The sequence below is a fragment of the Homo sapiens genome, chromosome 4, assembly GCF_000001405.40.
Source record: "Homo sapiens chromosome 4, GRCh38.p14 Primary Assembly".
Lineage (NCBI taxonomy): Eukaryota > Metazoa > Chordata > Mammalia > Primates > Hominidae > Homo > Homo sapiens.
Window position 1 is genome coordinate 47,382,436 of NC_000004.12, and position 16,589 is coordinate 47,399,024.

Genomic DNA, 16,589 nt, shown 5'->3' on the forward strand with positions numbered 1-16,589 from the left:
GTACTTGGAAGCATTCTTCTAAGCGTTTTGATGATGGATTGCTTCTAAGAAGCACTCTGTAGCTATCACTTTGCAAAATAACCTCTTTTATCTTTCCTGTAAGTCAGGTAGCACAGATTATTGGCCCCATTTCCACAGAGAGAAACTTGGAAGCATTCAGCCTTCCCAATCAGGTCATGGAACTCTGTACTTCCATTTTCTCCATCTGAAAAAGTGAAAAGTATCATCACTGCTTTTCTTCCCAAGCCTGAGATTGAGCAATAAGTACAGAGCATTGCCCTTTCCTAACTGCTATTCCCAAACTGTTCCATCCCAGGCAGCTCTAAAGACCAATTCATATTTGCAGGACTTCCTATTTCATGGACATCAGAAATAAAGCCTTCAACATAAACAAAATTGGCAGCTAGCCACGTATTTCATCAATGTAACTGCCAAATTACATGGAGTAAAAAATCAATTCTAGCAAAACCAATAATAATCGAATCAGTTCTTTTCCTTCATGCCCAGACACAATGCAATTTTTAAAACACAGACATTAATGTGCCCAACATGCCTACTACAATAACCTCTGTGACACCAATCTAGCACTTGGGAATGAGTGCAGATAAGCTATAGATACAAACAACTGTGAACTGTCAGCTTTACAACATTCTATTCACATGGATTTCAAAAGCCAAGAAATTATACAAGAAAGCATGACAGTTTGTGAATCTCAAAAGCACATAGCCTCCTAGTTGCTAAGGCTATCCAACCTGATTCTAGAGAGGATCCAAAAACCATGCCATATTTGAAGACAGCTGAGAATTGCCAGAGAAAAGCTATTTTTCTAGGAAAGAAAATCCACTATTTTCTATAGACACAAGAGCTTGGTAGAATATGATTATTGGAGGTTGTGTGCAATACCTCTGTGAAAACTCAGGTCAGGGACCACAACTTTGCATCCACAGATGAGAAAGGCATCCAATTTAAAAATTGAATTGGGTAGCAGCTCTCAATAAGTATCATCTGAGAGTGAGTGAATAAGGGATATGAGACTAAAATGATAGATTATACCTAAAAAAAAAATCAGGGACTAGGCAAATAAGTTAATAAAAATGAAAATTAAATTCTGATCTGATATATTAGTAATTTTTAATTCAATGCATCTTATTGCTTCCAGTTGTAAAATCATAACTGAGAGATGTGAAGAATGGGTTCATATCATTTATGGCACATAGATTTTTGTTCATTAATATGCATAGCTAAAATAGCGGGCATATGAGCTACCATACTCCTCAAAATGTTAGTGAAAGTATTATAACTTAAGCATTAAATATACCAAACAGGTCATTTTTTATAGTTACTTTAGTAATCAACTAGAGTTGCATATATTCAGATATATTTCTAGCTAAAGATCTGAATATGTGACAAGGTCTATTAATCATAATTGTTCTAGTGTCACTTAACATAAATGAATTTTAAAATAAAACCTTGTGAGAATCAGTGATCCAAAACTAAAATCATCATGAAAACCTAAAACTCCTGTAACTAAAGGAATAAAATCTTCACAGTATCATGTCGCTGCCTATGAATCTGGAAGATCTTGAGTGCCCTCTACAGGATATTTAAATAACTTTGATGTTTATTTTTCCCAAACAGGCAATTTCTAGAACGTAAAAATAACGTATCAGGTTTTATTTTTTAAATGATTACATATTCACCACGTAAAATTTTTGAAAGAAAAAATCATCCATAATATTATCATTCATAGATAACCACTATTAACTCTTTCCATATATAATCTTTGTTATATGTACACACACACATACATTTTTATTATATTTTTCTCTTAACAACATACCATAAACATTTTGCCATCACTGATTTTGGCAGGTTGAGGATTTTTTTTAGATTTTAATGGATTTTCCAAAAATGTGCTTTATTGACAAATCACTATTTCTCATCAGAATTTCTCAGTGAAAAGTGACCCCCACACCAAAATAAAAAAAAAAAAAGGAAAGAAGGTGAATTTAAATAAAACAAAACAAAACTCAGTAACCACTCAAGGGTGGGTTCATAACCAATAAAATCAGGATACACATGACTCTTCAAACCAAAAATACCATAGAGATATTCTGAATAGTTTCCCACATTGAGGATATAAGGTGGTCTTAGAAATTAAATTAGGTAAATAAGACTGTTATCCAAACTATCAAATCTGGGGTTTCAGGCCAAGAATAACACTGTTAGTGCAGTAAGGTTAAAGTAGTAGTACATTTAAGTTAGCTAGATAAGTGCCTCTGTTTCTATTTTACTTGTCCATGATCTTATTATCCTTAAAGGTAGTTTACACTTCAGAAAATAAAGGCATATTTGACACACTAAGTGCCTGTCAAAATCAGAGGTGACTCCCTTTTCTACACTAGGCCTGATTTTGTTTTTTATTTTTTAAAATAAAGCAATGATGCACATCTTTAAGGATGCCAAATAGATTAGGCATTCTTAACACTCAATTTGAAAACAATCTTTAAAAACATTATGATACTGACACACTAGTTTAGCTTCTTTGCACATGGGGTTAATTCCTTTTCATTTGTCCTAGTGAACGCTGTCATTACACTTTCCGGAGAATATTAACACGAAAGACTTTGCCTACAACCAAACAAATGTTTCAAAGTGGAAAGAGGTTTCAATCTTCCTTTTTAACCAGAGCAGAAATTACTGGCAGAGGCAACATCCTATCATAATAATGCCATGACCTCATCTGAGACTAGTTGAACAGCAAGATCCTCTCTATTCCATGATAACAATAATAAGTCAAGGTTGTCTGAATTTTGAAAGAGATTTCTCACAAACTTTGCAAGGAGTACATGTTTTATTTGGTTACAGTACTGTGAAACTCATCTTTTTGAGAAGGTTGTACCCAGATCTCAGTGGAAATTAAGAACAAGAGTAAACAGTCACAATTTATTTTCATTTCTCACCTGAGATTATTTTAAGAAGGGAGGTGCCGAGAATTGAGATGTTTATTACATGTATAGACGATGCAACAGGATTTCAAGACTGTAAAAGATTTGACCACAGGTATCTAAGAGAAATCTACTCTGTGATTATTAAAATAAATTGAAAACTCTGAACTGCTTTTACTCACAACATTTCTGACACCAAATGTTTGGGTTTGCCTCACACCAACCAATTCTCCTACTCTCTGGACACCAAGTGGATCTCTTACAATTCAATTCTGATTCTAACACTCAAGAGTTAGACTCCAGAGTCAGACTCCACAGGTTTAATGCCTCGGTCCCAGAAGACTGCATTCACTTCTGATGCCATTCACAAGCATTGGGTTCCCGGGTTACCCACAACTCTGTCCTACTTAGCTTCAAATCAGGGGCTCCCACAAACCTCCCTCTAGGTTTGACAATTTGCCGGAATGTCTCACAGAACTCAGGAAAACAGTCTACTTACTACTACTGGTTTATACAACTCAGGAGCAGCCAGATGAAAGAGACACATAGGGCAAAGAATGGCAGGGAGTTGTGGGGGTGCAAAGCTTTCATGCCCTCTCCAGGCATGCCACCCTCCCAGCACCTTGATGTGTTCACCAGCCTGGAAGGTCTTTGAACATTAGTGGGTTTTATGGAAGTTTCATCACATAGGCATGATGGATTATTAACTCAATCTACAGCTTTTCTCTGCTCTCTGGAGGTTGAGGTGGGGACTGTGAAAGTTTCAGGCTTCTAATCTGGGTATGGTCTTTTTGACAACCAGCCCCCATCCTGAAGCCATCTAGATGCTCACCAGAATCACTGCATTAAAATGAGAGATGCTGCTGTCACCCAAGAAATTCCAAGATATTTAAGAGCTCTGTGTCAGGAATGAGGGACAAAATCACATATATATTTATTATGCCACAGAAATAGATGACTAAGGATTTTTTTCTGAGACATAAAATATTCTCCCCTTTGACTATGAAGACAAATAAAATGTAGAGGCTACAAGCTGTTTGTTTTGAGATTTTATTGATAACAAGCACATCAATACAGACAATAAGATTTTTAGCATTTGCAGGTGTGATTATCCTTTACTTCACTGTGTATTGGGGCCATTGAGTAACCGTCACTGTGATCTTTGGCTAGCAATGTACCTAAAACATATGTACCTACATAAATTAATGCAATATAGCTCCATTAGCATGTATAAAGGAAAGCAGACCTTGTGAGTGGGAGGATATTATCATGAGCCTACAGACATTAGTACACCACATGGCTATTTGTGTTTATAGAATGAAATACATCATTCCATTGTCCAAGAAGGAAGGAAAAAAAAATTCAACAGACACTTAAGCTGATGAAATTGAAGCATTCTGGGCAATATAGTAACCCCACATTCTGTAAAAGGAGAATCAGTAATCTATGGAAGCAGCTTGATGTTTCTAAAAATAAGTCTAACAGACCTTACTTTCTTATCTGATAGGCTGCAAAATCAATCAAGAAAAATATGAGAAACATAGAGATATAGACGAAAGGCTAAACAATTAGGAAAATATTAAATGGATAAATGATGGTGTCACCCCACAAAGTGCTGATTAAAGACCTGATTCATCCTACAGGAATATTACCAGGGAAATCTTACAGGGCTCTGTCTTTGTCTCTGCCAGTCCACATTTGTCTCAATCAAGGGAATAATGATAAAAGGCATGTTTTTCAAATTTGCAGATAACATGAAACTAAGAGGTTGAGCAAATCAGCATCCAGAAACAAAAATAGCCCAGGCACAGTGACTCATGACTGTAATCCCACTTTGGGAGGCCAAGACGGGTGGATCACCTGAGGTCAGAATTCAAGACCAGCCTGGTCAACATGAAGAAACCCCATCTCTGCTAAAAATATAAAAATTAGATGGCCTAATTTTTTTTATGGTGTTATGCACTTGTAATCCCAGCTACTCTGGAGGCTGAGGCAGGAGAATCACTTGAACCTGGGAGGTAGAGGTTGCAATAAGCCAAGATTGTGCCACTGCACTCCAGCCTGGGCCACAGAGTGAGACTCCATCTCAAAAAGCAAAAACTCAATAGGCTAAAATAGTAAGTCAAATTGAATTAGATAAAATTATCAAACTGGCTCGATACAATTAAATGGGAACAATATTAGTTCTTATGTGTGAGTCCAAAAGAAAGTAAAAACCATTTGATTGTGGAAAAAGCGAATTTGAACTTGTGCTGCTTTAATGGAAGACCAGTGACTAGACTTTGCTAGCCAGTCACTCCAAGAATGTCATGACTTGGGCAGGCATGGGGGGATCTCATCCACATGGGACCAGAAAAATGGTAGAGGAGGTCAGAACAGGGTTGTATAGAGGCTTAACCCCAGCTGAATAGCCCAGATGGATGCCTATCACATGCAGTTCAACCTGGCAGGCAATTTCATCTTGAGAAATTACAGGTAGACAGCCAATTTAAAAGTCAGGAAGGGCCACAATCAGGGTCAGGAGATCTAATGGTGGCAGCAGAATTTCTATCAGTGGGAAATTTAAGAGGAGTTGGACATATTCCAAATAAATAAAGCTCGGAAGGAGATCTTGGCCGTTGCACTAGAGTCCCATTGGTGTCAAAGGTTCAGCCATATAGCCAACACGCATTATAGGCAAAGTGTCTACATCTACAAATTAATCAAGGGTCTTAAACGGATTATTGGCTCCAAAATACATAAAGAATATTACAATATTAAAATTAGTATAACATGTTAACAAATAAGCTGCAATTAAATGTTTTATAGTGATATGTAAATTATGTTTAACATGGAATGTGAATACATTTTAATGTATTTGATATAATGCCTGGAGTCTAAATGCCTTTAAATGGGTATGGTCTAGTGTAGACAAGGATTAATAGACTAGGCAGTGTAAACAGTCAGATATGAAGAAACCGGGCTCTAGAAAAGTCACTCTGGGAATTTACATATTGTCCAAACATAGAAAATGCCAGGGTCGAAATGGAGTAGGGAGAAGCCTGAGTATCCTGACCTTGCTTTAGGTGTGTTAGGTCCTAGATCTGGTTGGAAGTAATGGGGCTTTCCAGAGGATGCTAAAGAAATCAGAAAACATGGTTGGATTCTATGATCGCAAATCTGGGGATACGTCCAAATCTGCTGCTGCTTAATTCTTATGTCAATCAAGAGTGGCTCCATAACAAGGGCAGAATTAACCTTGGGGACAGGTCTGTGCAATAGAGAAAGAAGACAGATAACCCAAAAAGTGGTAAAAGAAACAAGGTAGACATGACTACCCCTAAGTTTAGGGCTGCATACTTCATGGGACATGTAAGCAAACTGGAAACTGTGAGCAGAAAAAAGTTCCTAAGACTGAGCATACCCTGGGAAGGACCAGAGCCTGGAGAATAAAAGAAAGGGAGCATGAAAAGTGTTCTCAAAGATGGGAGGTGTTATTATGTTAAAAAAAGAAAAAAAGGATTGGGTTTGTTTTCTGTTAACACAGAGGTGGGCAAGGATGTCATGGTGGATACTCTCCAAGAAGATGAATTTTTACTTATGATAGAACATGTTTTCTAATGATTATTATCAGAAACACACTCACCCATCCAAACCCAAAGAATGGACTTAGAGGTATGAAGAACAGTGAAAGTGAGACTTTTTAATAATGGCTTTGCAAGATTGGGTGTTTGGTGGGCAGGCACACTTGGGGAAGTCACATCAAGTAATTTATCTCTTACACAAAGTTCCTCCCCCAGTTCCTCATTGGTTGAGTACTGTGGGGTTACAATTTTCCTGGACATCACCTAAGTTTCATTATCCCCTTATAAGGTTATCCCCATCCCCTTCCCTGCTTAAGATTTGATTTCTCAATAACAAAACTGTCTTCCCTTTTATGGGCTGACCCTTCCTCTGCATTCTGTTCTCTTATTGTGACCTTCTAGGTGCATGAGCTGTAAGGTTTGTTTCATTTGCAAGCGGGCTGCCAGTGCTTAGATTTATCATGCCTTGAAAATGGACCGTTGAAAATGTTCTCTCACAATTATCTAAAAACCTAATTAACTACCGAGCAGACTCAGAAAGTAGTAATATGGCTATCTGTAAGCAGTGGATGACCATTCAAACAGTGGGTTATCAGGAATCAAACATTAAATGGGTTGTTGCATTTTGCCTTTAACTGTGAGAATGTTTTAAAAATCTGGCTTCCATAGTTTATTTGCTGCTTCTTGGGGTGTCATGGAGATACAAAGTTCCATGAGAAAGGAACCCAAAGTAGCCTTTTGAATAATTGTTATGCACATCTGGAGCCACTGGAAAAATTAAACCCAGTTGACTCTCTTATCTGAAGCTAAGATGCACAATTCCAAATATCCAATAACTCTGTAGTGTAAAGCAATCTACATTGCTACAACAGCAGAGCTCTTGATAAATTCCTAATATGTCTCCTCTCATGTGGGAAGAGTAAGAGGAATTAGGGAGTGGTAGACCACTATGCTTATTTCAGTAGGTTATTTTCTAACAATAGTTGAAATGCTGATTTTGAGTGTCATTTAGGATACTTTAATTAGGTGCAACTGATGTAAACAGGAAGGAAACATACTGGCTCCTGTAAGGACCAGGTACTCTCCACTCAACATTCATGTTTGCAAACAGCTAAAAGAGAAAAAGAAATTTACCTTTCCTCCGACTATTGAAGAAAAGTTCTAGGTTTCTTTGGGACTGGATCAACTTGGATCACATGCCTATTGCCAAGCAACTAATTTGGCCAGGGGACTGCTATGAGATAATTGTTTTAGACCTGGATTGTTGCCTAACCCTGAGCCATTCACCATATTTTAATGATTGGCCTAAGCCAATCAAGATCCACACCATGAAATTTGAGATTGGGTTACAACTGCTCCACAACAGGACATAAACTTATTTCTGCCCACCCATGGATTAGAAGCTTAAATGTCTGCATTATCTGAAACACATTTACGTACAAGACTAGACCATCCCCCTAGCTCTATTAAGCACAGTGGGGAGTAATTTTTATTTTCAAATTAGAAAATGCATCCAAAATAGAGTGTTTCAAGTACCAAAAGAATACTAACATCCCAGATACTTCTACAATTGTACTAACTCCATGCATCTTTATCCATTGACATCAACTTAATTTTATCTGTACTTTCTTCACCACTAAGAAATCCCCAGGGGCTGAAAGGAAATTTCAAGAGTTCCTGTATAGTTATTGTTGCTAGGAAACAACATCCTTGGTATCCAAGTGTTCAGCTCTGAGATACTGTGTGAAGTCACTGGTTCATAAAAGAAAACCTTTGGTAAAATAGGTTGTTTAGGTGTGAGTAAATTGATGTTCTCACTCTGTGGCAAAATGTTCTTGTGTAACCTTTGAAATAATAGTGTATTTCAAAGCCAGTATTCTTTCCTTTGGATCTAACTGCCATTATTGCTCCCATGAAAACTCAAGCTTCTACTTGGAGAGGAGTAAGCTGGCCGGGCACGGTGGGTCATGCCTCTAATGACAGCACTTTGGGAGGCCGAGGGGGACGGGTCATGAGGTCAAGAGTTAGAGACCAGCCTGGCCAACATGGTGAAACCCTGTCTCCACTAAGAATACAAAAATTAGCAGGGTGTGGTGGCACGTGCCTGTAATCCCAGCTACTCAGGAGGCTGAGGCAGGAGAATTGCTTGAACATGGGAGGTGGAGATTGCAGTGAGCCAGGATCACCCCACTGCACTCCAGCCTGGGCAAAAGAGCAAGACTCCGTCTCAAAGAAAAAAACAAAAGAAAGAAAAGGAGTAAGCCTTCTTTTTTTCCCCAAATCATCTGTAATTACCTCTGCCTTGAACACTAAGCCTAATGGGTTTTAGTTAAACAAAGTGCGTGTGAGCTTGGAAATAAAGACCCAGACCACTGACTGGATAAATTGTTGAATATTATTAAAATCTCTATTGATCAGTAGTCATAGTCCAGCTTTTTTATTTTGTGTAGTATTGACATGCTCTGCTGCTCTTCAGAAGCGGGAGATAATGTGAGGTGCTGTTTTGACTCACCCTTCTCCCCACCTCAACTGCAAGCGGCAAACCATCACTGACTCTCAGCTAACTGGTGCTTATATGTTTCTCACCTAGGATCTTATAATTCAAAGACCAGCTTGAGGTTGTAGTCCATCACTTCTGTCACTTAGTTAACTCAGTAAGCCTAAAATTAATACACAGATTTTTGCATTTCCTTGGTGCCCAGACTTACCTGTAAGGCCTCTGTGAAGGTGTCCTTCATCAGGGAGTAAATTAGGCTCAAGAATATACCAAATAGGTCCCTCTATCAGATTACCAGTTTGGGACCATAAACTCAAAACTCTAAGCAGCAAACAATATTAACTTATTTATTCAAAAATATGTATTGAAACTTTACTATAGACAGAATCTGTTCTAGGCATCGGGAATTTTTTAAATGAATGAAAGAAGGCCCTTTTCTTCAAAGAGCTTATAATATAATGAGGAATAGAGAAGACAAAGGGTAGAGATAAACACAAAGCTATAGAAACAGTTGAAATATTCTGCATGGTATGTTCAGTACTACGTAACTGACAGGATCCTATCTGGGAGGCAGAAACCACTCAAGATTTTTCAAAAAGGGAATTTAATATTTAATAGAGACTTTGTTACAAAGATTGGAAGGGCTAAAAAAAAAAAACGCAGAAAGGAGAAGGAGAAGAGTGCTAAACGGGCAGATGTCAGAGGCTGCTAACATGCTTGCAGTAGAGCACAAGTTTGAATCTGATGTGATCCTGTGAGAGGCACTGTCCTAGTTGTTTATGGAATTGCCAAAAGAGAGGTGACTTCTTCAATTGCCCTGGCAGCAGTCGCCAGAAACTGAGGCACTACCATGCTGCAAGAGCCAGGAACAGGAAGCTTCTTTCTCCCTTCCACCTTTTTTTTTTTTTTTTTTTGAGATGGAGTCTCGCTCAGTCACCAGGCTGAATGAAGTGCAATGACACAATCTCGGCTCACTGCAACCTCTGCCTCCCAGGTTTAAGCAATTCTCCTGCCTCAGCCTCCTGAGTAGCTGGGACTACAGGTGTGCACCACCACGCCCAGCTAATTTTTGTATTTTTAGTAGAGACAGGGTTTCACCATGTTGGCCAGGATGGTCTTCATCTGTTGACCTCATAGATCTGCCCGCCTTGGCCTCCCAAAGTGTTGGGATTACAGGCGTGAGCCACCGTGCCCAGCCTCTCCCTTCCACCTTCTAATCTTCAGCTAGCTCTTCCTAGGGGAAGTATCTAACATGAAGCCAGAGAGGCAGGAAGCCCAGCCCCAGCAGTACAGAGTAGAGCACAGAAAGTGGAGTATGCAGCATAGAAATATCAAGTGAATGACTGGCATGGGTTACAACAGAGGTTTTAATGAAAAGCTCTGGTAATCACAATGCTGGAGCAAATAGTTCTTCCCTAGAAGAGAAAGAAGGTATGTCAATCCAGTGTCTGTTGCAGACAGCAGAAGTCCATCTAGCTAGTTTAGTATGTATGCTAACCTCCTTTGAGAAAGCTAACTACATCTCCCAGATTCTCTTGAAACTGAGGTTGTGGCTATAATTTAGTTTTCTGGATTAGATGGAGTCAAGTCATGTCAGAGGTAGTGTTTGAAGCATCCGTTTTGCTGGTGCAGATCATAACTCATGGATGGCTCTGGAACCAAGAATTCTGGTTTTAGCTTTCTGTGATCCTGGAATCAATGTGGTTGCTGTAGCTACTTGATTAACAGCTTTCTGATTGTGGCAATCGGTCCCTTTGAAAGGCCAATCTGCACTGTGGTTCTGGGAGTCATTGCTAGTGGCTCAGCCTGGAATCTACTACTTCAGTGTTTTGACTGCAAGCAAAAATGATGAGAATCAGTCCTTGACCTCAAGAAGCTCAGAGCCTAGTGGGGGAAAGACAGATAAGCCAGGTAAAATTCAACATGGTTCTGTGCTTTTTTCGAGGCGTGTGTATAGTGGAGTTTATAAAAGTCAATTAGGAGCAGAAAGGACTGTGACCAGTGGCCATAGGAGTCTACCTACAGCTCTCCCTACACTCAATCCTGGCTACCTAATTACCTTACTCTTCTTGGCCCAGTTTTTTCTTTGCATACTGAAATTGTTGAGGATTTTGTGGTGTTCATATGGATTCAACTTTGCCAAAGTTCAGTTTTCTTGCTAAAATTGAGTTGCTTATTGAGTAAATTTCATGAAGTAAATCACAATATTCCATTGACATCATCCAACCTTTATATTATTCCCTGTATACAGTATTCATCCTATATGTTACTTCTTCTGCCAGGCAGGCCTGCTCTACCCATCTGGCCAAATCCTCTAAGAAGTTTAACTCCCTTGGGTCAATAGTTTGCTTAGACTGCTATTAGACCATGAGATCCTGAAAAGTAAGGCCACACCTAACCCACTGCATATCCTTCATGCCTAGGATAGTGTTTGATGCATAGCAGGCACTACAAGTAGGTGTATTGCAACGTCAAGTATATTTTCCATTGATTTGCTTGCCAGTTTAGAGAATTAGGTATGTTTGATGCCATCCCTAAGAACTAGGTATTGTTCTGTGCTTCATCAGGGATCCTGATGGATATCTAGAAAGATAAGAGACTGAATCCAGAGAAGTTGTCTGTGGCAGAGAAGAGTCAGCAAAGACCTCATGTTAGAGTGCTCAGGAGGGGAAAGTAAGCACGCCAGCATCACTGATGGGTGACTCTAAAGCTAACATGGAAGCTGTGTTCTGTCAGCCCTGTTTTTACTGCCTACTTGAAAATGGGCCACCCAGGATCACAAACTAATGACAGGCATAATGAAGTCAAAAGCTATAGGCAAATCCAGACTTCAATTGGGACAAGAGCAAAGGTTCCTATTCAGGCTTTGATCTATAAATAGTATTTCTCTCCACAGAGTCTCTAGATACTGGTTTACAACTCCCTCCTTAACAAATACCCATTGTAATTATTCTATGTTTCTAACTAAAAGCAAAACCATGTGCAGTCTAGCTCAGAAGAGGATAGTCATTCATTTGTGAAGTGTGAGGCACGAGAACCTGACTGAATGAAAGGCCACCCCAGCCCCATATAAAGGTTAGCAAAGGATATTTAGATATGCTACTAAAATCCATGCCTAGATAAGTCAGACAAGAAGACAGCTTTAAATTTGGACTGTATTGCCTTGTCTCCTTAAAGGATTTTTAAAAACTAAATTGTACTTATTTTGATTCCATCTATCTTTATGAAAAAGTTCGCCTTTCACACCATCTTCCTGAATGGATTTTGCTGAGGCATTTTTCATCACATTAAAAAAAAAAAGTCCATGGGAGAAATTTCTCTCAGGCTTGGCATCAGCACTTCCCCTTCTTCCAAGCCAATTGGTTTGTTTTTATCTCATGGGCATGGTGAATTCTTTAACTTATCTGATTTTTGTGTTACTTGATAGAAAAGCAATTTTTTTGTCTCTGAGAAGAGGCAGGTCCGGGTGGTGCTGGCAGTTCATTTCCTCCTCCCTGGAAGTGAGCAGACTCAGCAGATCTGAGTTAAGTAGACAGACATAGAAGCTGGTCTCAGCTGCTGAGTTCCTAAGGCTACCCCCTGCAATCCTATAAAAATGTGAAATGTACAGCATTGCAAGGCAAGGTTCAGTGCACCCAGGCTACCTGATGAGCCTAAACCATGGGATAATGAGAATTTGGGAAACAACTGGTGATCCACTACCTCCCTGTATTAGTTTGTTCTCACACTGCTATAAAGAACTACCTGAGAGTAGGTAATTTATGAAGAAAAGAGGTTTAATTGACTCACAGTTCCACAGGCTATACAAAGGCTTGGAGGCCTCAGGAAACTTACAATCATGGCAGAAGGTGAAGGGGTAGCAAGCATGTCTTACCATGGTGCAGCAGAAGAAAGCGAGAGAGAGCAAAGGGGGAAGTGCCACACACACATTTTTAAACCATCAGATCACATTCGAACTCATTCGCTAACACGAGAACAGCAAGGGGAAAATCCACACCCATAATCCAATCACCTCTCACCAGGCCCCTCCTCCCACACGTGGTGATTACAATTCGAGATGAGATTTGGGTGGAGACACAGAGCCAAACCATATCACTCCCTGCTCATAAAATTCTTTCTTAATAAACCCCATTCTAGATCTTCTGGAGGTGTGTATTTGAAATCTCATTGCCCACATGTAGAAAATACATAGGATGCCAAGATTTCCTTCTTTGTAATTTAATTTTTTGACTGTTAATTTACTCACATGATTCAAAACTCAAAATACATTAAAAGTTTAGAGTGAAAATTTCCCTTTCATCCTTATCATCCATCTTCCTAGTCCCCCCAAAAGAAATTGTTATTACCTTGTTATCTGTCCCTCCAGAGTTTTTTCATACACCTACAAGTATATGCAAATATGTTTCTGTTTTTCCCAGATTTTTCCCTCATATATTAGCATGTTGCAACATTATTGTTCTGAACTTTGATTTTTTTAATTGAAAGTGGATTTTTGAGATTTTTAATATTATATATAAGAAATTCCTTGTTCTTCTTTATGGCTTTATAATAGTGCATTAATGTGCTATAATTTATAATTTAGTTAACCACTCTTCTGTCGGAGGATGTATTAGTCTGTTTTCACGCTGCTGATACACACCCGAGACTGGGCAATTTACAAAAGAAAGATGTTTAACTGGACTTACAGTTCCACCTGGCCAGGAAAGCCTCACAACCATGGCAGAAGGCAAGGAGGAGCAAGTCATATCTTACATGGATGGCAGCAGGTGAAGAGAGAGAGAATGAGAGCCAAGGGAAATGAGTTTCCCCTTATCAAACCATCAGATCTCGTGAGACTTACTCACTATCAGGAGAACAGTATGGGGGAAACTACCCCCATTATTCAATTATCTCCCACCAGGTCCCTCCCACAACATGAAGCAATTATGGGAGTACAAATCAAGATGAGATTTGGGTGGGAACACAGAGCCAAACCATATCAGGGGACATTTATTTGTTTCAAATATTTTGCTATTACAACAGTATTTTAATGAATAATCCTGTATGCACATTCTTCACAATTGTGCAATTCACACAAATTTCTAGAAGGAAATTTCTAGAAATTTCTTTAATGATTAATTTCTAGAAATTTTTATAGTTATATTCTCTAGACAGATCTACAGTTTATTTAAGATTTACAATAGTTCATGGCATGAAAGAGTGGTCCAAACTACTTTTTCCAGTAATTCCTAAGCAATGATTTCTTAAAATAGGAGTTGCTTGGTGAAAGGGTATATACATTAATACTTTCGATAGCTGAAGCAAACTGCATTCCATTTGGGTTATAACAAATTATATCCTCATCAGCAACATGAGAGTAGCTGCATCCCCACGTGCTCAGCAAAATATGTTATCACTTTGTGGATTTTTTCCAAGTTATAAGGCAAAAAGGAGTATCTTGATACAGTTTTAATTTTAATTTGAGTTTCTCTGATTATAATTGAGTTTAGGCATTTTTATTTTTCAATGAACTCTCTGTTCATATCCTTTTACTATATTCTCATTAAGGTTTTTGTCTTTGTCTTTTTTGTTGTTTGTAGAAGTTTTTTATATATTAAGAACATTAACCCTTGTCTTAAATATGAACTGCAATTATTTTTTGTCTCTTATTTACTTTTGATTCTGTTTATAGATTTTTGTTGCCACACTTTTTTAATGTAGCTGAATGTGTTAATTTTTTATGACTTATGAATTATTTGTTAGAGTTAGAAAGGCCTCATCCATGCCAGTAGTATAAAATAATTCTCCCATGTTTTCTTGCAGTATAAGCATGGTCATATTTTCTAGATAGATCTACAATTTATTTGAGATTTACAATAGTTTATGACATGAAATAGGGGTCCAAACTGCTGTTTCAAGTAATTTCTCAGCCAGCATGATTTCTTAAGCTATCTTTTCCCCAATAATTTGAGGCACCACTTTTATCATATTCTAAATTTTCCTATGTATTTGGCACTAGTTCTGAATTTTTTATTGTTACCCATTGATCTTTCTTTCAGTTCCAGCACTGGGATCACACTGTTGTAAGTATTGAGATTGTATAATGTTTTACTACCTGGTAGGGCTAGTTGCTTCTTATTTCTACTTTTTTTTTTCTTTTTTGAGATGGAGTCTTGCTCTGTTGCCCAGGCTGGAGTGCAGTGGTGAAATCTCGACTCACTGCAACCTCCACCTCCCAGGTTCAAGCAATTCTCCTCCTTCAGCCTCCTGAGTAACTGAGATTACAGGTGCCTGCCACCATGCTCAGCTAATTTTTTTTTTTGTATTTTTAGTAGAGACAGGGTTTCACCATGTTGGCCAGGCTGGTTTCGAACTCCTGATCCCAAGTGATCTACCCATCTCGGCCTCCCAAAGTGCTAGGATTACAGGTGTGAGCCACCACACCCAGCCTATTTCTACTATTTTTTCAGAGTTTTCTTGGGTTTCTTTATTTTAACTTTCAATTCATCTAGTCTAGTTCCCAGAACAAAAATCCTGTTGGCATTATGAGGCAATCATATTAAATTGTGAAACTTACGATGTTGAGTTTTCCTTTCAAAAATATGCTATGCCTTTTATTTGTTCAAGGCTTCTTTTGTGCCCTTCAAATTTATTTTAAATGTTGCTTCATATGTGTTTTGCATATTTCTGGCCAAATTTATTACTGGATAATTTTGTCTCTATTTTTAACTGGTCCTTTTCATCTATTATATGTTATAAGTTATTGTTTTATATATTAAAGTTATCAATTTCTGTATAGTAATTTTATACCCCATTACCCTACCAAATTCTTATTGTTTGTAATAGCTCTTCAGTTAATTCTTTGGAGTTTACTGAATATACAATTGCATACTTTGCAAATCCTGATAGTTTAACCAGCAGCTTTCCAACTCTGTACCTCAACTTTCTTTCTGTTGTCCAATGTCTTGGTTAGTATTTCCAGAACAATGTTAAATATGAACAATGGTAGTAGACACTCTCATCTTCTCCTTAACTTTCATGGGAATGTTTTCTGTTTCCACACTAAACATGATGCTGGTTTGGGACCAGGAAAGATATATCTTCCCATGTTAAGGAAATATCTTCTCATATATATAGAGAGAGAGAGAGAGAGAGACAGAGAGAGAGACAGAGACAGAGAGAGACGGTGTCTCGCACTGTCGCCCAGGATGGAGTGCAGTGGCGCCATCTCTGCTCACCGCAATCTCCGCCTCCCAGGTTCACGCCATTCTCCTGCCTCAGCCTCGCGAGTAGCTGGGACTGCAAGCGCCCGCCACCACGCCCGGCTAAATTTTTGTGTGAGGTTTTTTTGTTTTTTGTTTGTTTGTTTTGTTTTGTTTTGTTTTTGAGACGGAGTCTCGCTCTGTCACCGCAGCTGGAGTGCAGTGGCGCTATCTCGGCTCACTGCAAGCTCCGCCTCCCGGGTTCACGCCATTCTCCCGCCTCAGCCTCCTGAGTAGCTGGGACTATAGGGGCCCGCCACCACGTCCGGCTAATTTTCTGTATTTTTAGTGGAGACGGGGTTTCACCATGTTAGCCAGGATGGTCTCAATCTCCTGACCT

The 16,589-nt window shown here is 38.8% G+C and overlaps 1 protein-coding gene across 3 annotated transcripts in view, besides 1 other annotated feature; it reads left to right on the forward strand.

The window, feature by feature from the left end:
• Positions 1-16,589, forward strand: part of GABRB1 (gamma-aminobutyric acid type A receptor subunit beta1) — a 432,801-nt gene that overhangs the window by 388,789 nt on the left and 27,423 nt on the right. The gene's annotated exons all lie outside the window — the stretch shown is intronic.
• Positions 9,056-9,115: a silencer, noted in NCBI's record as "silent region_15398". NCBI's record gives its function as "represses an Ori minimal core promoter by ATAC-STARR-seq in GM12878 lymphoblastoid cells {active_cell/tissue: GM12878}" and the evidence as "EXISTENCE:reporter gene assay evidence [ECO:0000049][PMID:35858748]".